This window comes from Homo sapiens, chromosome 6 (genome assembly GCF_000001405.40).
Source record: "Homo sapiens chromosome 6, GRCh38.p14 Primary Assembly".
NCBI lineage: Eukaryota > Metazoa > Chordata > Mammalia > Primates > Hominidae > Homo > Homo sapiens.
This window is the reverse complement of record NC_000006.12, coordinates 165,520,480-165,548,203: the sequence shown is the minus strand read 5'-3', so window position 1 is coordinate 165,548,203 and position 27,724 is coordinate 165,520,480. Positions and strand designations below refer to the sequence as shown.

The following is a 27,724-nucleotide window of genomic DNA, read 5'->3' as shown; positions in this document are numbered from 1 at the left end:
TGGTTAGAATAGTTTTATCTTTTGGAGATACATATTGAAATGTACTAATATATTAAAATAATTTCTTGGATTTGCTTTGAAATTATATGAGAGGAGAGTAGGTGGTAGAGATGGAAAATATTGGCTATGAATTGTGATGGTTGAAGCTGGCTGTTGAGTACCTAGGGCCATTATATTTTTTGGTGTGATTTGATAAAAGTTTTAAATGTATATTTATACATATGCGTGAATAGGCAAAATCTTCATCTGAAAAAGAAAGTTGAATTTGTGGCTTGCAGAAAGCAAAAACCAAAAGGGTAGCATAGTAATGTGTTACTTTATGAGAAGCTTGTAAGATTTCTGTGAAGACAGAAGAAAAGTAGCCTCAATGCTACTGTATTTAAAAACAAAGATATAAAAATGTATCATTGTTGATGTTATTTATTTTTACTGATGTTTTGCATTATTATGCGTGGAAACTCAAAGGTGTCAATCCTTTTCATCACTGCTCTATGGCTCAATATCAAAATGTTGAAGTAGAGATACTGCTGTGGTGTTTATCCATTTCTTTAAAAGAGTTACTCAGCAAGAAAAGAAAGTTAATTCTTATCTACCCCTCAGATTGCTGGCTGAATCATTAACCATAGAAGCAATTATCTTTACTAAAATATTCATCAGTCTTTATTATGCCTTTTGTTGTGTATCTTCAGGTACCAGTGTTAAATCTAACCACTACATGTACCACTCTGCTTTTCAGTTTGGTTTTGTTTAGACTGTAATCCTTCATGACAGTTTCCATGGGCATTTGCAGATTGCACTGCGAAAATTAATGAAATTCATCAGCTCTTCATAACTTACCCTGATCATTCAGTCTATCAATACCCGTGTGCTTCTCTTCTATCATTTATTACTTTTAACCTGCCCCTGCTCATGAGTACTCCTGCCAGATGCTGAAAAATGAAATGAAAATGAAAGTCAGTTTAATTAGTTTTATCTGTTTCCACTCTGGCAAAATGTTATGTAGATGAAAGGTTGTAGTTTATTAGCAGGAATGATATATTTTAAAATATACTCGTTCAAATATACACAATTGCTTTGGAATAGTTGTCTGTATTTGTCTGTCTGTGCGATTTACTGGTAGCAAATTTTAAATCATCAGCTACTCCAAGCTTATGTATTTTCTGTTCTTATCCTAAATTTAGCTGTTTCTTCATGGAGTCTTGGTTCCTTTTATTGTACACTGATACTAGCAACCAAGCTCTAGGTGCTGTATGTATGCAATTATACCGGGATATTGTTGCTTCTAGGCCCTCTCAGCTAACATAGCAAAGTGAGACTTGTGTGTATTTATGAGATATACGTTATCTACCAATATTCCTATATGTAACCATTTTTATTTGTATTGTCATACATGAGTTCACTGATATCTCCAACTTTAATTCATTACCACATGGATCATTCTGAACTCTTCCTTTTGTTTATCTGTAACATCTCACTCTACCATTGAGAAATCTTGTCCCCACCATCTACCACTCATTTGTTTAATTGACCAGTGTCAAACTGTACCCTCTTGGGACAACAACTTTATCAACTAGAGTGTGGTGCTTATGTACAGTTTATTTTGTGTCTAGTCTCACAGACCCCACTTATTTTCAAAGTTCTATAGGTTAGCACCTTATCCTCTGCCACCCGCTTCAGGGAGGTTGTTTTATACGTTTTATATTACATGTGTAATACATTTAGATTCTTGTGTTGCATTATGCTTTCCATCCTGAGATCCCCTGACCTTGTAATTGAGTTTTTAAAAATTTACATACGTGATAGTTTACTCTTTGTGCTATAAAGTTCTACAGATTTTTGGCAAATTCATAGTGTCATGTATTCATCGTTATAGTGTCTTACAGAATAGTTTCATCATCCTAAAAGATCCCCTGTACTTTACCTATTCATAATTTGCCCTTTCCCCTTGAGCTCCTGGTAGTTACTGATCTTTTTACTACCTCTGCAGCTTATGCCTTTTCTCCAGTGTTGTATAGTTGGAATTGTGTAATATGTATCCTTTTTAGACTGGCTTTTCTTCTCATAGCAATATGCATTTAAGACTCATCCATGTTACTTCATGGCTTGTTAGCCCGTTTCTTTTTAGTGTGAAATATTTAGTCGTATGGATGTATCACAGTTTGTTTATCCATTTGTGTATTGAAGGACATCTTGATTGCTTCCAGATTTGGGTGATTATGAGTAAAGCTGCCAAAAACACTCACATGGAGGTTTTTGTGTGGACATAAGTCTTCATATCCATTGGGTAAATGCTTACTAGTGAGATTTTTGGGTCATACAGAAAGACTCTATTTAGCTTTGTAAGAAACTGCCAAACAGTCTTTCAAAGTCACTGTAGCATTTTGCATCCTTATCATGATTAAATGATAATTTTTGTTGCTTTGCATCCATGCCAACAATTGGTACTGTCAGTTTTTTTTTAATTTTAGCCATTCTAATAGGTGTGTAATAGAATCTCATTTTTGTTTTAACTTCAATTCATGATTAACAAATGAGCATCTTTTTAAATGTTTATTGCCATATCTATATCTTCTTTACTGAAGTGGCCTTTGGCCCATTTTTCAGTTGGGTTGATTGTTTTCTTATTGTTGAGTTTAACGAGTGTTTTTTTGTTTATTTTGGATGCATATCTTTTATCTCATGTAATTTGGCAAATATGACTTGTATGGTAATGCACTAAGATGAAATGAGATGACAAGTCGGAATGAGTCAGTTATTACTATATTTTTCAGCCTCAGTTTCTGGGAAAATGTAGAGTAATAGTAACACAAAAAGGAAAACCAAGAGTTAAAATCTCTTTGGGAAGAAGTGAGAAGGAGATAACTCATATAGTTTTGACTTAAGATGGAGCTTGAGGTGATGGGAAAGTAGCTAGACTGGAGATTAAAAATATGTTAAGATTCCTGATTTAGATTTTGGTGTCGTCATTATGGATTGTTGAAGAGAAAGTAGAATTCAAGAGCAGTTAGAAAGTTAGGATAAGAATTCTATAGCCTTGTGTCATGGGAGTGGCAGAAAGAAATTTTAAGAAGGAATCAATATTGAATATGGAGGACCTAAAGAGAGCATGAAATTTGCATTATCTGTCTTCTCAAAGGTCAAGTATGCTATCAGCTTACTGTAGTATCCTGCACCTTTTGTTTTTAGGGACTATAATTTGCTGTGCCAGGAGAGCACTTACTTACTTTATTGAGCCAATTATCTTTAGCATTTTATAGAATTTCTCACACTGAATTTTACACCACTGGGGCTCTTTTGCAGGGTGAATATAGCCAGAGATCTTATTTTCATTTGTCTTATACAACTCTATTTGTGTGTGTATATGTGTGTGTGTGTGTGTGTGTTTAAATTGACTATTTAACTACCAATTTCATTGAAAGAAGTCATTTTCCTTTTCAGTTATACCATTCTGTTGTAGAATCCCAACAGTTGTGACTTTAGTTCCCAGCAGAATTAATTAACACATATGAATTCTCTGCTTTGTCTGTTTGGGAAAACATACAGCCTACTCTCTGGAGTCATAAAGATATGCTTCCTTTCCTTCTTTTTTTTCTCAGAGTGCAGTTTTTCATTGCTTTTTTTTTTTTTTTAACCTAACCATCCCTAAAAAGGGTAATTTATTCAAATAATTCACAGAAAAGATACAGTAGTAAAAATAATTCCCGTCACTGAAGGATAATTATTCAAAGCCTGTTTGTGTTTGGGGTTGTTTAATGAAATGGCATACCAACACAAAGCACCAAATTGAAAACATATACTTTATATGTGAGATATGAAAACATGTGAAAATACTTTGTTTGCAAATCTTATGTATATTCAGTACTTATCATTGGACTATGAAAAGTATTTCAGTGAAACTGACTACATACACAGAATATTAACGAATAAATGTCAAGATTATTCTGAACTGAACATTAGTTATACCACTGGGTTTAATGACTTTGAGAAAAAGGAAGGATTTGTGTTGTAAGGCAATAAAAGATAATAATGTATTCATTTATTTATTAAACAATTTGTAGCACCTATAATGTTTCAGTGCTACATTTTCCTGTTTACTACTCTTGCTAGAGTTTCACTTGCTTTGACCACTAAATCTGTGGTAACTATATACCGAAAAAATAAGTACTCTGTAAGCCTTAATGTACAGCATTGGTTCTTGGCATTGGTTCATATGTAACTCTGAAATTTATTGCTAGAAACAGCTATGTAACATGATGTAATATCTGTAGTTTAAAATTGCTAAACTAACTGCATTCTTTTTTATTGTGGTCATACACACACACACACACACACGTATATATGAAAAATGGTGTTTTTTTACCATTTTAAATGCTGTTTTAAGCGTACAATTTAGTGGCATTACGTATATTCCCAATGTTGGGCAGTATTCACCTGTCTAGTTCCAAAACTTTGCTGTCACTCCCAGTAGAAACTCTGTACCCACTAAGCAGTAGCTTCCCCTTCCCGCTCTTTCCAGCCCTCTCTCCGTTAGATGAGAGGTTGCTGGGTCTTAGCATAATGTGTTGTGATACTATACCTTTCATTGATATGAGGATGTTGTATAGGTGAATTTTATTCTTTTCAATTCTTTTACAGGTTTGACAGATGAAAAAGTGAAGGCATATCTTTCTCTTCACCCCCAGGTATTAGATGAATTTGTATCTGAAAGTGTTAGTGCAGAGACAGTAGAGAAATGGCTGAAGAGGAAGAACAACAAATCAGAAGGTAAGGTCTCTTGTGGATCTCATTTTAAACCAGCTTTTTCTATCTTACGGCAAAAGACTAAGCATTTAATATATTCTAGAGTGTGAAATATAAAGTAGACAAATATTAACACTGTAATTCTATCAGAGTTATTCCATTTAAAAAGATAAAGTAAGTTAGAGAAGAAATAAATACAAAAGAAAGATCCGTGACTAATTAAAAATAAAAATTTGGCAAATCTTGAGAATTCAGTTGATTAAGTTACAACCATATTGAAAAATGCAGAAGTCAGTATTATAATTGATTTTATTTAAGGATTATTTTTAGTGATTAGATAAACATTATTCATAGTATGTATTTCAAAGATACTATATTTTACAAAGATAAGTCTATTACAAAAAGAAATCCTTTACAAAAACAAGCCAATATAAAAACAATTTTTATATTGGGAAAGCACTGTAGACTTGGCATTTGACTTTCATTCACACTCAGACTCTAGAAGATTTGTTGTCAGTAAACTTTCAGTAAAAGAACAAGTATATTGGCTGGGCGCAGTGGCTCACGCCTGTAATCCCAGCACTTTGGGAGGCTGAGGCGGGCGGATCACGAGGTCAGGAGATCGAGACCATCCTAGCTAACACAGTGAAACCCCATCTCTACTAAAAATACAAAAAATTAGCCGGGCATGGTGGTGGGCACCTGTAGTCCCAGCTACTCAGGAGGCTGAGGCAGGAGAATGGCGTGAACCCGGGAGGCGGAGCTTGCAGTGAGCCGAGATCGCGCCACTGCACTCCAGCCTGGGCAACAGAGCAAGACTGTCTCAAAAAAAAAAAAAAAAAAAAAAAAAAGAACAAGGACATCTTTTTGACCTAAACACTCATGAAATGAGAAAAGGAGTGCAGAACCACTGTTTTAACTTTTGAGATCCTGGCATTTTAAGCACATCGTGGTTTAAATTTTCTGCAAAGTAGCTTTCTACAGTAGGAGTCTCTTTGCATGTTGTTCTCTTAGTCTCTGAAACACGTGTATTTTTAATGGAGACTGTTTAAGAAGCAGTTATATTCACGAATAAAGAACTAGAGGCTCAAAGGGGATGGGAAGCAAAATAATTTTTTCCTCAAACTGAATGTATATTAATATATTGGATTGTTTGATTTGAATATTGCATAATTTTTATTTTGTTTCAAATGGATTTATATTTGGCTAAACTTATTTCTGTGAATATTGTTTTTATTGTGACAATTTTATATGTGTTTTTGACTGTTCAACTTTTTTTAAATTATACTTTAAGCTCTGGGATACATGTACAGAACTAGGAGGTTTGTTGTATAACTTTTATATTAAAAACACAAAGATACTATTTGGGGGAAACTTTATTAGTGTAAAAAGGTGTTATCTTAAAGTTCTAAAATGTCTAATAGCAATGAATAAAAATGTATAATTGTTATTAAAATGTTATGGTGTTAGAAGTATAGGTAATTTTTCTCACTAATTTTTAAAGTTTCTGAAATTTTGTTTTGCATTTTTTATAGTGGTAATGTTTTTTAAATGAGGGCTTTTGTGCTGAAATATGAAGTAGTTTTTAAAGTAAGTGTATGTGAATGTGTTTGTATGTGTATGCCTGTAAGTGTGGATTGAGAGGGAGGGGAGAAGAGAAATAATAAATCAGAAACAGGCATTGTCTTCTCAATCTTGGCATTTAATATCAAGACTAACCTTAAAGAAAGCTTGACATAGCATAATTTAGTTTTTATAAGCCTCAAACATTTGAAAACAGTTTAAATGTTTGACACTTTCAAAAGTGTGGCTGAGCTTTGCTTAAGCACTTGATAAAAAAAGATGCAAATTTCAGCTTGCTATATAATGAGGGATAATAGTGTAGTGTAAGAATATATGGTCTTTGTGGGATATGAAATTGAGTACAGGTCCTAGAACCTATTGTAGTGCTACCATAAAAACTAACTCTTGAATTTTCATAAACATTGTCAGTGTGTCATTTCCTACCTCCCAAATCTTTGTTTTCTATATTAATCAAATAATACTTTATTGAACACATGTACAGAAGAGTTAAATAATTGTTAAGACCAGCAGTGTGTAACTGAAACTCTACTCAGTTATTCTCCTCCTCACTTAACTTTTTTTTTTTCTTATAAGGAGATGTTTTTTATTTGACCTTGCAGAGGGCTAGGGACAGTGGAAAGCGGCTGAGTGAGATGTGACTTGGAGTTTACCATCTAGTTGTGGGAATAGACATAGAGCCACTTAGCAGAATGCATCAGTAGTAAACAGGGATACAAGCACTGGAAGTATATAAAAAGGAACCTTACATTCCACTGTGCAGCCTAGTAAGACCCCCTTCAGCCTGTCTTCTGAGAGTGTTTATCAAAAGAATGTATCTCATCATATATCGCTTCATGTTCAGTGAAATTCTGTAGCATGGCCCTTGAGGCCTATATAAAAACCAGGCTTCCTCCCTTCATTCTTTCCTCCCTTCTTTCCTTTCTTCCTGTTACTTTAGAAAATGTCCTGTTCTCTGGGCGTGGTGACTTATGCCTATAATCCCAACACTTTGGGAGGCCGAGGTGGGAAGATCCCTTGAGGTCAAGAGTTCGAGACCAGCCTGGCTAACCTGGTGAAACCCTGACTCTACTAAAAATACAAAAATTAGCTAGGCATAGTGGCGCATGCCTGTAATCCCAGCTACTTGGGAGGCTGAGGCACAATAATCGCGTGAACCTGGGAGGTGTGGGTTGTAGTGAGCAGAGATCGCACCACTGCACTCCAGCCTGGGCAGCAGAGCAACCAAACAAACAAAAAAAGAAAGTCCCGTTCTCAAGTATGCCTTATTCTCCTTCCACGTTGCTTCACCGAAAACTTTTTGAGGAAGAAAATTTTTGTGGAGAGGATTTTCAGGGAGTGTTTTCATTTCCATGAGTGGAACCAGGAACAGAAACTGTGGCAGATAGAAGATATTGGAGAATAGCTTGTTGAAAATGAGACAAGCCTATCTAAATTATTTCATTTTTTGTCATTTAGAAAAAAGAAAATGAAATAAAACCGTGTAACACACTGTACCCCATAAATATGTACAATTATTATGTCAAAAATAATAATAAAAGAAAAAAACACCTGTAAGCAGTGTGAACGCTGACCGTATTTGATTTGAGTATTGCAGCAGAATTTTTATTTTGTTTCAAAAGGATTTATATTTGGCTAAACTTTCAAAGGGAAGCTAAAGGATCACCAGGGGTCAGGCATCTGAATCTCGATAGAATCATGAGACGCTCGCTATGAGATCAATTTGAAGGCATGAACTGCGTGCATCATAGTAAATTTTGTATTCCTCACATTTTCGAATGAATGAATAAATTAGGGAGGGTTAAATACTAAACCTCCAAGTGAAATAGCCTGAGGGTCGCTACATTTGCTTCTCATACTATGGGGACACAGAGCTATTTTTATGCTTCTGTCCCTCATACTCATTTAATAGCCTCTTGCTTGAGGGAAGATATTATATAATTGATTGATTGATTTTTGAGCAAAGTGTTGCTCTGTTGCCCAGGCTGGAGTGCAGTGGTGTGCTCTCGGCTCACTGCAACCTCCGCCTCAAGGTTCAAGTGATTCTCCTGCCTCAGCCTCCAGAGTAGCTGGGATTACAGGTGCGCACCACCACGCCCGGCTACTATTTGTATTTTTTTTTTTATTAGAGACAGAGTTTCAACGTGTCGGCCAGCTTGGTCTCCCAATCCTGACCTCAAGTGATCCCCCACCCCAGCCTCCCGGAGCGCTGGGCTTGCAGCCATGCGGCACTGCTCCCAGCCGATACATATTTTAATTCCCACAGGTTCCTTGTGTTTTCATTCATTCAGCAAACTGTGTGTCAAGTTCTGTTCAGGTGCTGGGATTATTAAATTGTTAAAGGGTTCTCAGTCTACAAATAGAAGGAAGGAGTTGTAATTTATTCCTTTCTTCTAGTTAGTCTGGCAGTGGGTTTAAGCAGAGTCCAAGCTGGTAGTTTCCCTGTCAGGGAAAGTCTTACAGAGAAAGAGGCGCGATTACGACGAGATTTTGTTTTGACAGGTAGAAGGAGGTTTTGGGAAATGTATATAACATGACAACTCCTCAAAGATCTAAATTCCAGAGTCTTTTTTTCTAACTCTTATTTTCAGTTTAATTTTATTGCTTTCATAGCATTTTCATTTCAGATACATAAAATTCTATCTACAGTTGAGAGGAAAATTGCTTTTTAAAAGTTGATCTCTGAACCTAAATTCCAAACCACCATTTTTTCAGTGATATATGGAAATTAGAGATTGCATTTATTCATTTTATAACCTGTTGTACTTATTTAGGGAATATATAAAAACTTCCTCAGGAAGCATTAAAGCCGATACATCCTCAGAAGAAAATATAGCTTCGAAGCAGAGTTTTAAACAGGTTTCATCAAACGACTATACATTCATTTTGAAAAAATGTAGGAAAATAAAGAAAATTATCTAGGCATATGTTGCCCACTAAATGTTATATTTTTATGCAAAGTAAATTTGACAGTAAATTTCCTCCAGCTGGTACCCTTCAAGACTCAGATTACTAAATGATTTAACATTTACACGTCTGTATTTGTACAAAGTATATATTATTAAATAAACATTAGGATATAATGAAGGTCCATTGTTTTGCATTTCTTATAAGAATATTCTAAAATGGAAAACAATTTCCCACCACTAATGCCGTTCCAGTATTTCAGTTATAAGTAGGAAGAATCACGACTTACCTTGACAATCAGCAGTGTCTCCTTTTGGCCCCTAATGTAAAAAATTGTGAGTTGACAGTGTCGGTGGTATTAGAAAGGGTGCATGAAGAAGTGAATGGTAGCATGACTATATTTGGCATCTTTTTGTAGTAGAATAATATTTAAAATAAGTGGATTAATTTCTTAAAAACCTCAAATGTAATTGTAACATTAATTTCTTAAAGGCGAGTTACTTAGTATTCCAGAGGGTGATTGATGAACCCACAATCATTTGAAAATTGTAAGTAGAATGCCACCTTTTGTGGGCAGTAATTTTATTTCTATGATCGTGTCTAAAATATTCAATAGCCGACCGTATCACTATCATTGTACCTATAAATTCAAATAATTAGTAATGAAAATATTTGTGCTGCCTGATACCTTAAATTTTTTTCAACAAATAATTGAAGTTTTCTTTTTTCTCAAATAATGTAGTTAGTATATGTTTTTCTCCTTTCAGTGATTCTAGAAGTGGGATTTAATTTTCATACGAATAAAGCAGTTAGATATTTTATTCTTAGAATAAGTAGGATTTAAATTATGCCCCCTAAACCTACTATTTGATAACCTAAAATTCAGATTAAATTGCATTTGTATGGTTTAATATGTAACGGATGGTTTCTGTGCTAGTATATATACGGAAGAAGGATATTAAATTAATGGGGCATAAATTACTTTGCCAAAACATTCGGTGTTGGAAGGTTTAGTAAGTGGGATACTAATAAATAATATATTAACTATTAGTATATTTTCATGATAAGAAAAAAACACGTTTTTGAAATGGTTTGCATGAAACCTAATTTTGGACACTCTTCTCTTTTTCCTTCAATTTTTTTGTCTCAAATGTTAAATTACATTCTTACACAGAATTTTCATATATTTTATTTATATTTTTTGGTAATGGAAACCAGAAAATGTGTTGAATGTCTTGATCTGAATTATAAATAAACATGAGTCCACCATCTGGTGACTAGAAAGGAGATAAAGTTGATACGAATTCATCTATAAAGAGTTATTTGGCATATTCTATTATTTCTGTTAATTGTGTGTTCACATTATCATAAAGATGGATCTTTGGTATTTACATATTTTAAAATTTAAAATTATGAATATATTATTATGAATACTTAGTAATTATACATATTTATGAGGTTCAGGTGATATTTGATACAAGCATACAATGTAATAATCAAATCTGGGTAATTGAGATATCCACTACTGCGAACATTTATCATTTCTTTGTGTTGAGAATATCCCAAATCTACTATTCAGGTTTAATGATTGGTCCCCCTATTGTGCTACCAAATACTAGATCTTATTCCTTCTATATAACTGTAATTTTGTACCTGTTAACCAACCACTCTTAACCATTTCTTCTCACTGGTGTTCCCGGCCTCTGGTAACTACCAATCTACTCTCTTCCTTCGTGAGATCCCTTTTCTAGCCTCTCACATATGAGTAAGAACATGCAATTTTTGTCTTTCTGTGCTTGGCTTATTTCACTTAATGGACTCTAGTTCCATCCATGTTGCTGCAAATGATAGGGTTGTATTTTTCATGGCTGAATAATATTTCGTTTTGTATATATCACATTTTCTTTATCCATTCACCCATTAATGGGTGCTTAGGTTGATTACATATTTCGGCTACTATGAATAGTGCTGCAATAAACATGGGAGGACAGATATATCTTTGATATGCTGATTTCCTTTCTTTGAGATATATAGTTAGCAGTACCACTGCATTTTATGGTAGCTCTGTTTTTAGTTTTTTGAGGAGCCTCCATACTGTTTTCCATAATGGCTGTAGTAATTTACATTCCTACCAATAGCGTACGAGCATTCCCCTTTCTTCGCCAGCATTTGTTGTTTTCTGTCTTTTTTGACAACAGTCATTTTAACTGAGGTAAGATGATATCTCACTGTGGTTTTGATTTGCATTTTCCTGATGATTAGTGATATTGAGCATTTTTTCATATACCTGTTGGGTATTTGTATGTCTTTCTCCTCTTGAGAAATACCTATTCAGATCTTTTGCTAATTTTTTGCTCAGATTTTTTTTTTTTTACTATTGATCTGTTTGAGTTCCTTATTCCTGTTCAGGTTATTAATTTTTTGTCAGTTGAATAGTTAGCAGATATTTTCTCCTATTCTGTAGGTTGTCTCTTCACTTTGTTTGCTTGCAGAAGTTTTTAAGCTTGAGGTGATCACATGTCAGTTTTTGCTTTGGTTGCCTGTGCTTTTGAGGTCTTACTCAAAAAAATCTTTGTCCAGACCAATGCCCTGTTGCATTTCCCCAATGTTTTTTTCTGGTAGCTTCTTAGTTTTAGGTCTTATGTTTAAGTATTTAATCCATTTTGATTTATGTATAAGGTGAGAGATAGGGGTGTACTTTATCATTCTTCTGCATATGAATATCCAGTTTTCCCAGCACCAGAAGACTTGACTGTCCTTTCCTCATTGTATGTTCTTGGCGTCCTTGTCAAAAATGAGTTGACTAAAAAATATGGATTTATTTCTGCCATCTGTGTTCTGTTCTCTTGGTCTATATGTCTGTTTATATGCTAGTACCATGCTGTTTTGGTTACTATAGGTTTATATTGTAATTTGAAACCAGGTAATGTGATGTCACCAGCTTTGTTCCTTTTGCTCAGAATTGCTTTGACTTTTATGGGTCTTTTGTTGTTTCTATATGAATTTTAAGGTTGTTTTGTCTATTTCTGTGAACAATGTTATTTTGAGAGAGATTGCATTGAATCTGTAGATTGCTTTGGGTAGTATGGACATTTTAATAGTACATGATTATTCTTCCAATCCATGAACATAATTCCATATTTTTTTGCTTTCAGTTTTTTTCATCAATGTTTTATAGTTTTAATTGTAGGTATCTTTCACTTCTTTGCTTAAGTTTATTCCTAGGAAAATAAATCATTATATAGAAAAGATACCTGTGCTTGTATGTTTATTGCAGCACTATTCACAATAGCAAAAATATGGAACCAATCTAAGTGCTTATCAACAGATGATTGGACAAAGAAAATGTGTGTGTACACACACACACACACACGCGCACACACACACCCCATAGAATACTACTCAGCCATGGAAAATAATGAAATCATGTCTTTTGCAGCAACATGGATGGAACTAGAAACCATTATCTTAAATGAAATAACTCAGAAATGGAAATCACATATTGTATGTTCTCACTTATAAGTAGGAGTTAAATAATATGTACACATGGACATAGAGAGTGGAATAATAGATCTTGCATATGTGGAAGGGTGGAAGATTGGGAGGAGAGTAAGGAATTAGAATTTACTTAATGGGTACAGGTTACAGTATTTAGGCGATGGCTACACTAAAATCCCAGACCTCACCACTGTGCAGTGTATCTGTGTAACAAAACTACACATGTATCATATATATATATATATATTTTAAAAGGCAGATTCCCGGGGTTTCTTTTGTAGGTATTGTAAATGGGATTGCTTTCTCGATTTCATTTTTAGATTGTTTGCTTTCGACATATAGAAATGCTACAGATTATCATATGTTGATTTTGTATCCTGCAACTTTACTGAATTCGTGTATCAGTTCAAATAGCTTGTTTGCTAAAGTCTTTATGTTTTTTGAAATACAAGATCGTGTCATCTGAAAACCAGGACAGCTTGACTTCTTCCTTTCCAATTAGATACTCTTTATTTCTTTCTCTTGTGTAATTGCTCTGGCTGGGACTTCCAGTACTATATTGAATAAGTTGTGAAAGCAGGCATCTTTGTCTTGTTAGATCTTACAGGAAAGGCTTCAGTTTTTCCCTGTTCAGTGTCATGCTAGCTATAGGTTTGTTGTATATGGCCTTTATTGTTTTGAGGTATGTTTCTTCTATAGCCAGTTTGCTGAGCGTTTTTATCATAAAGGAATGTTGAATTTTATTGAATGCTTTTTCAGCATCTATTCAAATGATCATATGCTTTCTGTCTCATTCTATTAATGTGATATATCATATTTATTGATTTGCATATGTTGAAACCATCTTTACATGTTTAGATATGAATCCCGCTTAATTATGATGAATGGATTTTTAATGTATTACAGAATTTAGTTTTTTAGTATTTTGTTGAAGATTTTTTCATCATGTTCATTAGTGATACTGGCCTGTAATTTTCTTTTTGCTGTTGTGTTTTTGTCTGGTTTTGGAATCAGGATAATGCTGGCCTCATAGAATGAGTTTGAAAGTATTTTCTCCTCCTCAGTGTTTTGAAATACTTTGAATAGAATTGGGGTGGTTCTTCTTTAAGTATTTTGGGAAATTCATCAATGAAACTGTCAGGTCCTGGACTTTTTTTTTTTTTTTTGATGGAAGACTTTTTATTATTGCATCTATCTTGTTACTTGTTATCAGTCTCTTCAGGTTTTCTATTTCTTCCTGGTACAGTCGTGTCAGGTTATGTGTGTCTAGGAATTTTTCTGTTTCTTTTAGACTTTCCAACTTATTGGTGTATCTTTGTTCATAGCAGTCTCTAATGATCCTTTAAATTTCTGTGGTATCTGTTAAAATGTCTCCTTTGTCATATCTGGTTTTGTTTGAGTCTTCTTTCTTTTTTCTTAGTCTATGAGCATACCACCATAAAATTGCCTATTCTCATCTGATATATTCTTTCTGAGAGTATTTGGCCAGGTTAGGGAAATCACTTATGCCTTTTGACCAAGGATCCACAGCAGTCCAACCAAATTTATTTGGATTTTGATAATTTTATAGATTAAGTCATATTATCACGAATAATGTTAGAGATTATGAAACTAATTCAAATAAATATAATAGCTTTGTTGCAAACTATATTGATTTCTGAAGTGATTTTTAAAAACAAATTAAAACCCTATGAAATATAAGTGGCAAAACCATTTCCCAGTTAAAAAGAATCTGCTTCTTAAAAGCTTCCTGAAGATTTAACAGTCATCTAAATTATTTGACCTAAGGTTGAATAATTATTTCTAGAAACATCCACTTGAGAGGGTTGTACCTGGAATGTGCCAGTACTATTCATTTTCTGGCTAGTCATTTAGTATGCCAATGAGCAAGTATTTATTGAGTATCCACTATGAATGTATAATTGGAGAACAAGAAATATAGTCCACCTCTACGAAGGAAGGTGGTCCCATAAGACTGTAATGCCATATCTTTTCTGTGCCTTTTCTGTGTTTAGACACACAGATACTTACCATTGTATTATAGCTACCTACAGTATTCAGTACAGTCACATGCTGTACAGGTTTGGAGCCTGGGAGAGATAGACTATACCACCTTATAGCCTAGGTGAAGTAGGCTATACCATCTAGGTTTGTGCAAGTCACTCTATGATGTTCTCACAACAGTGAATTACAACAATGCGTTTCTCAGACTGTATCTCACCATTAAGTGACATATTACTGTATAAACTTGCTTCTCTCAAGAACATCACTTTCATTTAGGGGAAGTCAGATAAACACACCATCAAAGAATAAGGTTATTTTAATATATTTTGTGACTATATATTTGAAAAAATCCAGTATAATGTACTTGCTAAGCAAGTATGAATTTTAAAATAAATTAAATTTGCTTGAGATTGAAGAATCCACATGGTTTAGTTTTAGCCATTCTGACTGGGCTGAGATACTGAGTCCATGCTCTCTGTCTGCTGTATCCTGAGTAATTTGTGTCACCAGAGTAGTATTTCTTGTGCTACTGACCTTGAGAAACTTCTTATTTTGTGGTGAAAGAATATATGAAGCCTTTAGAGAGCAGTGACTCCGGTGTGTAAGCAAGTGTTAAATGGGATGGTGTAGATTTATAAAGACAAGACTGTGAGACTTGAAGTCATGAAGAGGCATGAAAACTGGAAAGTGTTTTCTTGGAGTGGTTGAACTAGGCCGCTGATACTAGTGTGATCCCCAGACCAGTAACATGAACATCACCTGGGAACTAGTTAGAAATGTCATGGGTCGGGTCTCACCCCAGACTTGCTAAATCAGAACCTCTGGTGGAGGAGCCTGGAAGTCTGTGTTTTGGCTAGCTCCCCAGGTAATTCTGATGCTTGCTAGTTTGGGAACTACTAGTAGCTCCAGGCACAGCTTAAATTCTAGTGTCTCAGGGAACCCTTTCCAAACCCCCAGAGGAGATCACATACTCTAACTACATGCACTTATTGTACATTGCCCTTTCCTTTTAGCACTTGTATAACTGATTTCAATAATTATGGTCTAATTAGTTGCTTACTATTTTTGCCCCATTTAGATTCAAAGCTCCGTTATAGCTGAATCTGTGTCTAATGCTTAGCAAGCGTTACGCACATACTAGATATGCGCTTATCTAGCAATAGATAAGGAGAATCTATCTATTCTCCTTATGGAGAATAAACATGGGAGAATAAATGTGGTGCTGTCATGGGCTGAGGAGCAACATGAGCAAAGGCAGGAAAGCAGAGCTCCTGTGATTGACTTTCTCCCAGAGCCCCGAGACGGGAGGAGCTGGCACAAACAATTCCAATTAGAAGCCAGTTTCACGGAAAGCAGAGGTTAGTGTAAAGCCGGTTGGCTAGCATGACAGTTCAATTCAAACAACAGTTTGGATACAATGAATATGCTTGTTACTCCTTTTTTTAAAAAAGTTTTTGGGTTTTTAAATTGTTGTTGTTCATTTTTGTACCAGTAATTTTGATGTGGTATGCTATGAGGTAGTTTTGCTACAGATTATAAATCTTGAAATTATTTTTCTTATTTTAAGAATGCAAGAAGATGGTTTAAAGGTTTTGTCTTTTAATTCCCATTTCATATATTAGCCTGTTGGTGTTCTACATTGATTGTAATAGGAAAAGTAGAAAGAGCATAAATATTCAAAATTAGGTATTTAATTGATAGCTTAAATAAAGTATGGTGAGTTGCAGAACTATATATAATTCTTTTCTGTGAGATAATAATCAACACATAAATGCTAATAAAATATGTGATTGTGGTTGTTTTGGATGTGGGATTTATAGGTACATTTACATTGTTCTTGTAAATACTGTTTTTTAATAGGAAAGAAATAGAAAAATATTTTAAGGGCATCTGGAAATTTTTTGTTGTTGAAGGTTTTGCCCCAACTTCTGTTTTTGTTCAAAGGATAATGAACATTTAGTCTACATTTATGAATGCTCCATTATTGATGATTTCCTTTTTTCCCCTCAATAATAAATTATCATTAGTCATTTAGATTGTCACATAAGAAGCTGATGGCTGAACTGGAATATAGAAAAGCACACAGCTCAGTTTTGGTCTCATTGGGTTTACAAATTAATTTATTTTCCTCAGTTTTACCAAATATCTAGTATGTGCGTAACGCTTGCTAAGCATTAGACACAGATTCAGCTATAATGGAGCTTTGAATCTAAATGGGGCAAAAATAGTAAGCAACCAATTAGACCATAAATATAACTGAAATCAGTTATACAAGTGCTAAAAGGAAAGGGCAACGTACAATGAGTGCATGTAGTTAGAGTATGTGATCTCCTCTGGGGGTTTGGAAAGGGTTCCCTGAGACACCAGAGTTTAAGCAGAGGCACAAAGAATGACTAGAGTTGATTAAATAGAAGGGAGAGGAAGGAAGTGATGGAAAGGCTCCCATGTAGAGGAGGAGGATGGAGAAGTGGTCAAGGATCTGTCATGCAAGGCCTTTTGGGACATGTATAAAGATTGAGGATTTCATGCTGCAAGCAATGTCAAGTTATTGAAAGGTTTGAAGGAGATTTGATAATATATATTTTGAATGAATTTTCATAGTATTGTTTGGTTTGAAAATATCAGTGAAGTTTCAGTCTCCCTGGTTGATTGATGCCTCTCCAAAACATCAGCACACTTATCTGATGGTTTGTCATGTCAGTATCAACTGATGACTTAAACATATCTTAATGCAGTGGCTCAAATTTTTAAAATTGAAGCAAAAACTTTTTATATCTATATTACGTTTGTGGAGCATCAAAGAATAAAGTTTTGCTGGAAACTATTTTTAAATTTTAACTTTTATTTTAGATTCGTGGGGGGGGTACATGTGCAGGTGTTTTACATGGGTCTGTTGCATGATGCTGAAGTTTGACAATTGATCCCATCACCCAGGTAGTGAGCATAGTACTCAGTAGGAAGTTAGCATAGTACTCAATAGGTAGTTTTTCTGTTCATGTCATTTGCCCACTTTTAATGTGGTTATTTGTTTTTCGCTTGTTGGTTTGTTTAAGTTCTTTATAGATTCTGGTTATTAGACCTTTTTTGGATGCATAGTTTGCAAATATTGTCTCCCACTTTCTTGGTGGTTGTTTCAGGGGTCTCTAGAGGGACAGAACTAATAGGGTGTGTGTGTACACACACACACACACACACACACACACATATATAAAGAGGATTTTACTTAAAGTATTAACTTACACAATCACAAGTTCCCACAGTAGGCTGTCTGCAAGCTGAGGAGAAAGAAGAGCCAGTCTGAGTCCCAAAACTGAAGAACCTGGAGTCCCATGTTCCAGGGCAGGAAGCATCCAGCATGGGAGAAAGATGTAGGCTGGGAGGCTAGGCCAGTCTCACCTTTTCACGTTTTTCTGCCTGTATTATATTTGCTGGAAGCTGATTAGATGGTGCCCACCAGCTTAAGGGTGGGTCTGCCTTCCCCAGCCTACTAACTCAAATGTTAATCTCCTTTGGCAGCACCCTCACAGACACACCCAGGATTAATACTCTGCATCCTCCAATCCAATCAAGTTGACACTCAGTATAAACCATCACAAGTCCACCCCTTGTCAACTTGAACCCATACACGTCTCCTGCGATCATAGGCAATGTTCAAATAAAGACAATAATAAAGTCATAATTACGCCTAACATAATACAGCTATCCTTCGTACAACAGGAGATGCACCAATCTCCAACCCAAATACTATTCCATAAAGTGAACAATACTTCAATGCCGATATGAAGTCAGTAAATCTTACGTAACATGATAAAAGAAAAGGAAATAAAGATATTAGTACAAGTGTATACACGCACAATCATGTTTTTAACAAAAGGAGGAGGAAATATTCATGACAGTTGCAGTCCTCATTTCTGCCACTGGTCATGTGGTCGTAGCTGGTATGATGACTACCTTCTTCTACTACCCATTCTGTATTTCCTTGGCCTTCAGCAAGCACCTCAGCAGGTCATGGTTTTTTCCCTGGTGGAGTGACCCAAACCTTCATTCCTGAGGGGTCTGGACCATTTGTAGTCCTGCCTGGATTGGGCTATTGTAGTTTCTCATTGACTTTAATCACAGGGCTTATAGTTTCCCATAGACTTTAATCACAGGGCATGGTAATACTAAGAGATGCCCTAACGGATCTCCTGTAATCCATGCATACTCTTCCTTACCTTCGTTGTGGAGTAATAGACTGATTTCATCTTGATAGTCTGGGTCAGTCACCCCAGTCAACACTGTAACTCCATTCTTAGCTTGTTGACTTAAAGGTAGGAGGAGCCCAGAGTGTCCCTGTGGCAATCTTCCAGTTTAATGGAATCGTTGTTGTGAGTCCTGGTGGCAGTGTTTCTTCCTCTGGAAATAAGACCTCTAGGAGAGCAGAATGTAATGTCTCAGGAACAGGAAGCAAAAATTTTGCTAATGGATCACTAGGGGTGATGGTGAGTGGTGCCACTTCCACTTCCACCCCTTGATTCCTGGATCCATTAATCCTGAATATGGGAGAAACAGTACCATATACTGGACACTTATTCAGAGCATACACAGCCTTCTGGAGAACTTTGCCCCAGCCCTGCAAAATATTGTCACCTAGTTGGTGTTGTAATTGTGACTTCAAAAGGCCATTCCACTGTTCTATCAATCCAGCTGCTTCAGAATGATGGGGAACATGGTAAGACCAGTGAATTCCATGAACATCAGCCCACTGCTGCACTACTTTAGCCATAAAGTGAGTGCCTGGGTCAGAGGCACTGCTGTGTGGATTACCATGATGGTGGATAAAGCATTCTGTGAATCCACGGACAGTAGTCTTGGCAGAAGCATTGCATGCAGGATAGGCAAACCTATATCCAGAGTAAGTGTCTATTCCATTGAGAACAAACCTCTGCCCTTTCCATGATGGAAGAGGCCCAATATAATCAACTGCCACCAGGTAGCTAGCTGATCACCCTGAGAAATGGTGCCATATCGAGGGCTTAGTGTTGGTGTCTGCTGCTGGCAAATTGGACACTCAGTCCAGTGTTGCTGAGCCCATGCGTAACCTCCATCCCTGCCACCATGGCCACTTTGTTCATTGGCCCATAGGGCGATGACAGGGGTGGCTGGGGAAAGAGGCTGAGTGGTGTCCACAGAATGGTTCATCCTATCCACTTGATTACTAAACTCCTCCTCTGCTGAGGTCACCCATTGGTGAGCACTCACGTGGCATACAAATATCTTCACAGTTTTTGACCACTCAGAGAGATCCATCCACATACCTCTTCCCCAAATTGCTTTGTCACCAATTTTCCAATCATGCTTCTTCCAAGTCCCTGACCATCCACCCAAACCGTTGGTTACAGTCCATGAATCCGTATATAATCACACATCTGGCCATTTCTCCTTCCATTCAAAGTGCACAACCAGGTGCACTGCTCAAAGTTTTGCCCACTGGGAAGATTACCCTTCACCGCCGTCCTCTAGGGATATCCCAGAAAAGGGCTGTAGTGCCTCAGCTATCCACTTTTGGGTGGTGCCTGCATATCGTGCAGAACCATCTGTGAACCAGGTCCTAGCCTTCTCTTCTTCTGTCAACTGATCATAGGGAACTCCCCATGAGGCCATCGGTACAGACTGACAGACTGAGGAAGAGAAGGCAGATGGCAGGAGTGGAGATCATGGACATTTTAGCCACTTCCTCATGTAACTTACTTGTGCCTTCAGGACCTGCTGGAGCCTGATCATGTATATACCACTTCCATTTGATGATAGAATGCTGCTGTGCATGACCCACTTTATGGCTAGATGGGTCAGAAAACACCCAGTTCATGATGGGCAGTTCAGGTCGCATGATGACTTGATGACCCATAGTCAAAACATTCAGTTTCCACCAAAGCCCAGTACCAGGCCAATAGCTGTCTCTCAAAAGGAGAGTAGTTATCTGGTGGAGATGGCAGGGCCTTGCTCCAAAATCCTAGAGGCCTCCGCTGTGGTTCACCTATGGGGACCTGCCAAAGGCTCCAAACAGCATCCCTGTCTACTACTGACACCTCAAGCACCATTGGATCTGCTGGGTCATATAGTCCAAGTGGCAGAGCAGCTTGCATGTTAGCCTGGACCTGTTGCAGAGCCTTTTCCTGTTCTGGACTCCACTCAGAACTGGCAGCCTTTTGGGTCACTCAATAAATGGGCTGGAGTAACACAACCAAATGAGAAATGTGTGGCCTCCAAAATCCAAATAGGCTCAGTAGGCATTGTGCCTCCTTCTTGGTTGTAGGAGGGGCCAAATGCAGCAACTTATTCTTCACCTTAGAGGGAATATCTTGATAGGCCCCAGACCACTGGACCCCTAGAAATTTTACTGAGGTTAGGAGATCCCTGAATTTTAGTCGGATTTATTTCCCATCCTCTGGCACACAAATGTCTTACCAATAAGTCTAGTGGGTTTGCTACTTCTTGCTCACTGGATGTAATCAGCATAATGTCATCAGTGTAGTGGACCAGTGTGATACCTTGCAGAAGCAAGAAGTGATCAAGGTCTCTCCGAATAAGATTGTGACACAAAGCCGGAGAGGTGATATACTCCTGAGGTAACACAGTAAAGGTATATTGCTGGCTTTGCCAGCTGAAGTCAGATTGCTTCTGCTGGGCCTTATGGACAGGAATGGAGAAAAAGGCATTTGCTAAGTCAGTGGCTGCATACCAGGTACCAGGAGATGTGTTAATTTGCTCAAGCAGTGAAACCACATCTGGTACAGCAGCTGCAATTGGACTCACCACTTGGTTAAGCTTACGATAATCCACTGTCATTCTCCAAGATCCGTCTGACTTCTGCAAAGGCCAAATGGGAGAGTTGAACGGGGATGTGGTGGGAATCACCACCCCTCGTCTTTCAAGTCCTTGATGGTGGCACTAATCTCTGCAGTCCCTCCAGAGATGTGATATTATTTTTGATTTACTATTTTTCTAGCTAGAAGCAGCTCTAATGGCTTCCATTGGACCTTTCTCACCATAATAGCCCTCACCCTCCCAGTCAAGGAGCCAATGTGGGGGTTCTGCCAGCTGCTAAGTACATCTATGCCAATTGTGCATTCTGACACTGGGGAAATGACCACAGGATGAGTCCAGGGACCCACTAGACCCAATGTAAGTTAGACCTGAGCTGAAGCTCCATTAATTACCTGACCTCCATAAGCCCCTACTTTAACTGGAGAACCACAATGATGTTTGAGTCCCCTGGAATCAACATCAGCTCAGAGCCAGTGTCCACTAGTACCCAAAAGGTCTGATCATTTCCTTTCCCCAGTACACAGTTACCTTGGTAAAAGGCCGGAGGTCTCCTTGGGGAAGGATGAGAGAAAGATTCACCGCATAAACTGTTGGTAATATAGTGGGGTCCTTCTTCAAGGGGACCCGTCCTCCCCTTCATTCAAGGGGTTCTGGGTCTGTAAACTGGCTAAAGTCTGGAAATTAATTGAGGGGCCATAATTGTCTGTTTTTATAATTTAAATTACTCTTTTGTCCATTTGACCTAGAAGTTTTCTCCTTAGAAAAATTAAGTAGGAATACAGTAGACTTCCTATCAGTTTCACTTCTAGGAACACCATGATTAGTTAGCCAATGCCAGAGCTCTACACGAGTAAGAATATTCTGATTGCTGTTTTGTCTCTGCTGTCCATTATAGTATCTACACCCACTTTGCCTTTGACCGTTGAGTACCACCACTTGGCCCCTGCCACCTTGGGATCCAGTTATTTCCATTGTATTTAAATTTGGTATTTGAGTGACTGTGGTTCCCGCTGTTAGATTTGATGTACAGAGAAGAGCAATTACAAGGCTCTTCAAAGATGCAGGTGCTGCCCTCACAAATCTATTTCGCAAAGAATTGGTCAAGGGTATATCTTCGGGACCCTCTAAGGCTGGGATGAGTAGGTCTAAAGTGTCTAATCCACTCCACCATCCTAATTTCCCTAAGCCTTTGGATCCCTTCCTCTACGTTAACCCAAGGGAGATCAGGCATTTCCATCTTCCTCATAGTAGGCCATTTTTAATGCATATTTCAACTAACCAAACATATAAACTGTTAGGACCTTTTTTAACTCCCCGAGCTGCAACATTAAAAATAGACTCCCTACTTAGTGGGCCCAAATCAGTAAATTCAGCCTGATCCAATTTTATGTTTCTTCCACCATTATCCCATACCCTTAATATCCATTCCCATGCCTGTTCTCCAGATTTATGTTTATATAAATTAGATAACTCAAACAGTTCAAGTGTAGTGCACCTCCTCATGGGTCACACTCTCAACTTTACCTCTAGGGGCTCGCCGGGACTTCAGACTATTATAGGTCTAGAAGCAAAGGAGTATTGGGGGTGGCTCCTGAGGAGAATCAACATCATTTTCCCTGGCAGCTGCCTCGGGAGGCCATCACTGTTGCCTCAAGCAGTGCAGGGTTTATCTCCTGAGACAAAGGTGGAAAGGCTGATGGCAGCATGGGTCAGGGAGGGGATGTTGCCACCACTGGGGATGGGGAAGCTGTTTCTTCTGGCAAAAAAGGTTCCTCAGAGTTTACAAACTTGGTGTCCCCAGCTTCATCAGGGTCCTCCTCTATGTCCCCATTCCAAGTATCAGGGTCCCATTCTTTTCCAATCAATGCCCTCACTTTAACAGCAGACACCTGGCGAGGCTGTGCATGCATCTTTCATTGCAGGTTAGCCACTTGCATGATAAGAGCTTGTGTCTGTTTTTCCACAATTTCAGCTCTTCCTCTGCAGGAGATAAGACTGACTCAGGGCAATCTTAGCAGATTTGAGGCTTTGTATCTGCTTCTGAAGCCAGGAGACAGAATCCCTGGGTTCATCATTTTTTTCATCACTTTGTTCAATGAACTTAGGAGCAACCAACCAACTTCATTATGTTCCTTGGTTCTCCACATATGGTCAAAGGTATTATGTATAGAGTCACTAAACTCCTTGCCTCTTACAAGCGGTGAATCAGGAGTGTCAAATGTATTTATTTTGCATAACTTTCTAAACAGTTTATGCCAAGGACTATTGGTGTTCTCCATATTGTTAGAAGTAGAATCCTTAGCGTTTTGGGGTCTAATCATATTAAGCAGCCAACTCCAGGAACCCCAAAACCAACGAAAGAACTTCATTTTTAATATTCTGTTCCTCTGGAACCACTCCTGGTACAGAAATCTGTATTAGTCAGGGTTCTCTAGAGGGACAAAACTAATAGGAGATATATATCCATAGTGAGGAGTTTATTAAGTATTAATTCACACGATCACAAGGTCCAACAATAGGCCCTCTGCCGGCTGAGGAGCAAGGAGAGTCAGTCTGAGTCCCAAAACTGAATAACTGGGAGTCTGATGTTGCAGGGCAGGAAGCATCCAGCATGGGAGAAAGATGTAGGCTGGAAAGCTAGGCCAGTCTCACCTTTTCATGTCTTTCTGCCTGCTTTATATTCGCTGGAAGCTGATTAGATGGTGCCCACCTTATTAAGAGTGGGCCCGTCTTCCCCAGCCCACTGACTCAAATGGTAATCTCCTTTGACAACACCCTCACAGACACACCCAGGATTAATATTTTGTACCTTCAATCAAGTTGACACTTAGTATTAACCGTCACAATGGTCTGTTTGTTAATAGTTTATTTTTCAGTGCAGAGCTCTTTAGTTAGGTTTTTTGTCAATTTTTGTTTTTATTGCAATTACTTTTGAAAACTGAGTCATAAATTATTTGCCAAGTCTGATGTTCACAAGGGTATTTCCTAGGGTTCTTATAAGATTTTTATAGTTTTAGGTCCTATATTTAAGTCTTTAATCTCTCTTGGGTTAATTTTTAAAATTTGGTGATAGGTTGGGGTCTAGGTTCTTTCTTCTGCATATAGCTAGCCAGTTAATACAGCCTCATTTATTGAATAGGGAGTCCTTTCTCCATTGCTTACTTTTGTCAACTTTGTTGAAGATCAGATTACTATAGGTTTGTGGCTTTATTTAAGGGTTCTCTATTCTATTCATTGCTCTATGTGTCTGTTTTTGTACCAGTACTGTGCTGTTTGGGTTACTGTAGCCTTGTTGCATAGTTTGAAATTGGATAGTGTGATGCCTCCAGCCATGTTCTTTTTGCTTAGGATTGTTTTGGCAATTTGGGCTTTTATGTGGTTCCATATGAATTTTAGAATAGTTTTTTCTAATTCTGTGAAAAATGACGTTGATAGTTTGATGGGAATGGCACTGAATCTGTAGATTACTTTGGGTGATAAGGCCATTTTAATTATATTGTTTCTTTCAATTCATAAGCATAGAATTTTCAGTTTCTCTGTGTTATGTAATCATTTCTTTCAGTGTTTCATAGTTCTCTTTGTAGCTATCTTTCACTTCCTTAGTTAGATGCATTCCTAGGTATTTTTTTTTATTTTTGTGGCTATTGTAAATGGGATTGCATTCTTGATTTGGCGCTTGGTTTGAATACTGTTGGTATATAGAAACACTATTGATTTTTGTACATTTATTTTGTATCTTGAAATTTTATTGATGCCATTTATCAGTTCTAGGAGCCTTTGGTAGATTGTTTAGGGTTTTCTACATACAGAATTATATCATCAGTGATGAGCGATAATTTGACTTCTTTTCCTATTTTGGTGTCTTTTATAATTCTTTCTCTTGCCCAGTTGCTCTGGTTACATCATCCAGTACTATGCTAAATAAGAGTGATAAGAGTGGACATTCTTGTCTTGTTTCAGTTATTAAACTAGAAGCAAAAGCTTCTAGCTTTTGCCTGCTAGTATGATGTTGGCTGTGGATTTGTTATAGATGGCTCTTAACTACTTTGAGGTATGTTCTCCCAGTGCCTAGTTTGTTGAGGGCTTTTATGATGAGGGGATGTTGGATTTTATTGAAACTTTTCTGTATGTTTATTGAGATGAACATTTAAAAAGACCTTTTTTTATGTGGTCTTTTATGTGGATTTATCCCAAGAATAAAGCCTACTTGATTGTGGCGAATTAACTTTGTGATATAATGCTGGATTTGGGTTGCTAGTATTTTGTTGAGGATTTTTCCATCTATGTTCATCAGGGATATTAGACTATAGTTTTCTTTTTGCATTGTGTCTTTGCCAGATTTTGCTATCAGGGAGATGTAGTCTTTGTAGAATGAGTTACAGAGCAGTCCCTCCTCCTTGAATTTTTTTTGGAGTTGTTTCACTAGGATTGGTACCAGCTCTTATTTGTACATCTGTTAGAGTTTGGCTTTGTATTCACATACACAGGACCTTTTCTGTGGTTGGTAGGCTTTTTGTTATTACTGATTCAGTGTGGAACTCATTGTTGGTCTGTTCATGGCCAAATGTGGAAGCAGCAAAAGTGTCCATGAACAGAAGAATGGATAAACAAAATGGGATCTAGTCATAGAATAAAATATTATTCAGCCTTACAAAAGAAGAAAGTTCTGACACATGCTACAACGTGGTTGAACCTTGAGGAAATTATGCTCAGTGAAATAAGCTAGTTACAAATGGACAAATATTATATGATCCCACTTATATGAGTAGTCAAATTTATAGTGCCAGAAAGCACCAGGTGTAGCTACCTTCGTGAATCATCTTTGCTAGATCATCTGGATAACTTCCTGCAGCTTCTATATCAGCTCTTCCTGCTTCACATTGAGCTTTTATGTTGTGGAGATGGCGTCTTTCCTTAAACTTCATGAACTAACCTCTACTAGCTTCAGACTTTTCTTTTGCAGCTTCCTCATGACCTCTCTCAGCCTTCATAGAATTGAAGAGAATTAGAGCCTTGTTCTGGATAGGCTTTGACGTGAGGGACCATTGTGGCTGATTTAATCTTCTGTCTTAGATCACTAAAGCTTTCTCCTATCAGCAATAAAGCTGTTTCTCTTTTGTATCACTCATGTGTTCACTGGAGTAGAACTTATAATTTCCTTGAAGAGCTTTTGCTTTGCATTAACAACGTGGCTAACTAGTGCAAGAGGCCTAGCTTCAGTCCTGTCCCAGCTTTTGACGTGCCTTCCTCACTAAGCTTAATTATTCCTTGCTTTTGATTTAAAGTTAGAGGTATGTGACTCTTCCTTTTGCTTGAACAAAAGGAAGGCCATTGAGGCCATTGTAGGGTTGTTAGTTGGTCTAATTTAAATTCTGTTGTGTCTCAGGGAATAAGGAGGCTCAAGGAGAGAGATCGGGGAACAGCCAGTTGGTGGAGGAGTCAAAACACACACAATGTTTATCAATTAAGTTCACCATCTCATGGTTTGTAGCTCTCCAAACAATGACAGTAATATCATCAAAGATCACTGATTACAGATCACTATAACAGATATAATGATGAAAAAGTATTTTGAATATCGTGAAAATTTGACACACAGACACCAAGTGAGCACATGCTGTTGGAAAAATGGTGCTGATAGACTTGCTTGCTGCTGGGGTGCCACAAACCTTCAATTTCTAAAAAAAAACCATAGTATCTGTGAAGCACAGTAAAGCAAAGCACAATGAAATGCAGTATGCCTGTCCTAGGGCTCTTCCCAGAGCCTGAAGGGGGCTTCTACAGTGGGAGGTTTTAGAGAAAGCTTCCTTTTCTCACTGGTCTGTTTCTGGGGATGTAATTGTCCAGTCCACCCAATACACTGATGGCTCTTAGAGTACAAAGGGTGTGTCATATTCCAATCTTGTTTCTTAATTCCTGGCCAACTAGTAACTCAGTTAATGTTGAATATATGAATTCAGTAATTGACCGACAGACTCATTTTAAGTGATTAAAGGGCCATTGAGGACTTCAAAAGAAACATTTATCTTGTTTCACTATTTGGCCTATAAGTAGCTCTGGGCCTGGAAGTTAGGAAATTCTTAGTGCTTGATCTGAAAAATCTGTGGGCTCTACTCTCCTAGATGCTCTGTCAAATCACTAGGTGCCCAGGGTAGTAGCTGTCCTCATGCCCATCCCTCTCCTTCAT

The 27,724-nt window shown here is 37.4% G+C and overlaps 1 protein-coding gene across 12 annotated transcripts in view; it reads left to right on the top strand.

The window, feature by feature from the left end:
- Positions 1-27,724, top strand: part of PDE10A (phosphodiesterase 10A) — a 660,764-nt gene that overhangs the window by 439,849 nt on the left and 193,191 nt on the right. For 10 of the 12 annotated variants that reach the window (XM_011535387.4, XM_017010194.3, NM_001385079.1 and 7 more), the window contains one exon: positions 4,636-4,764. In XM_011535387.4, coding sequence (XP_011533689.2) covers positions 4,636-4,764 — 129 coding nt within the window. Of the gene's footprint in view, positions 1-4,635; positions 4,765-9,720; positions 9,777-27,724 lie in introns of all 12 variants that reach the window. The other 2 variants (XM_017010195.3, XM_047418100.1) reach the window with 1 other exon arrangement.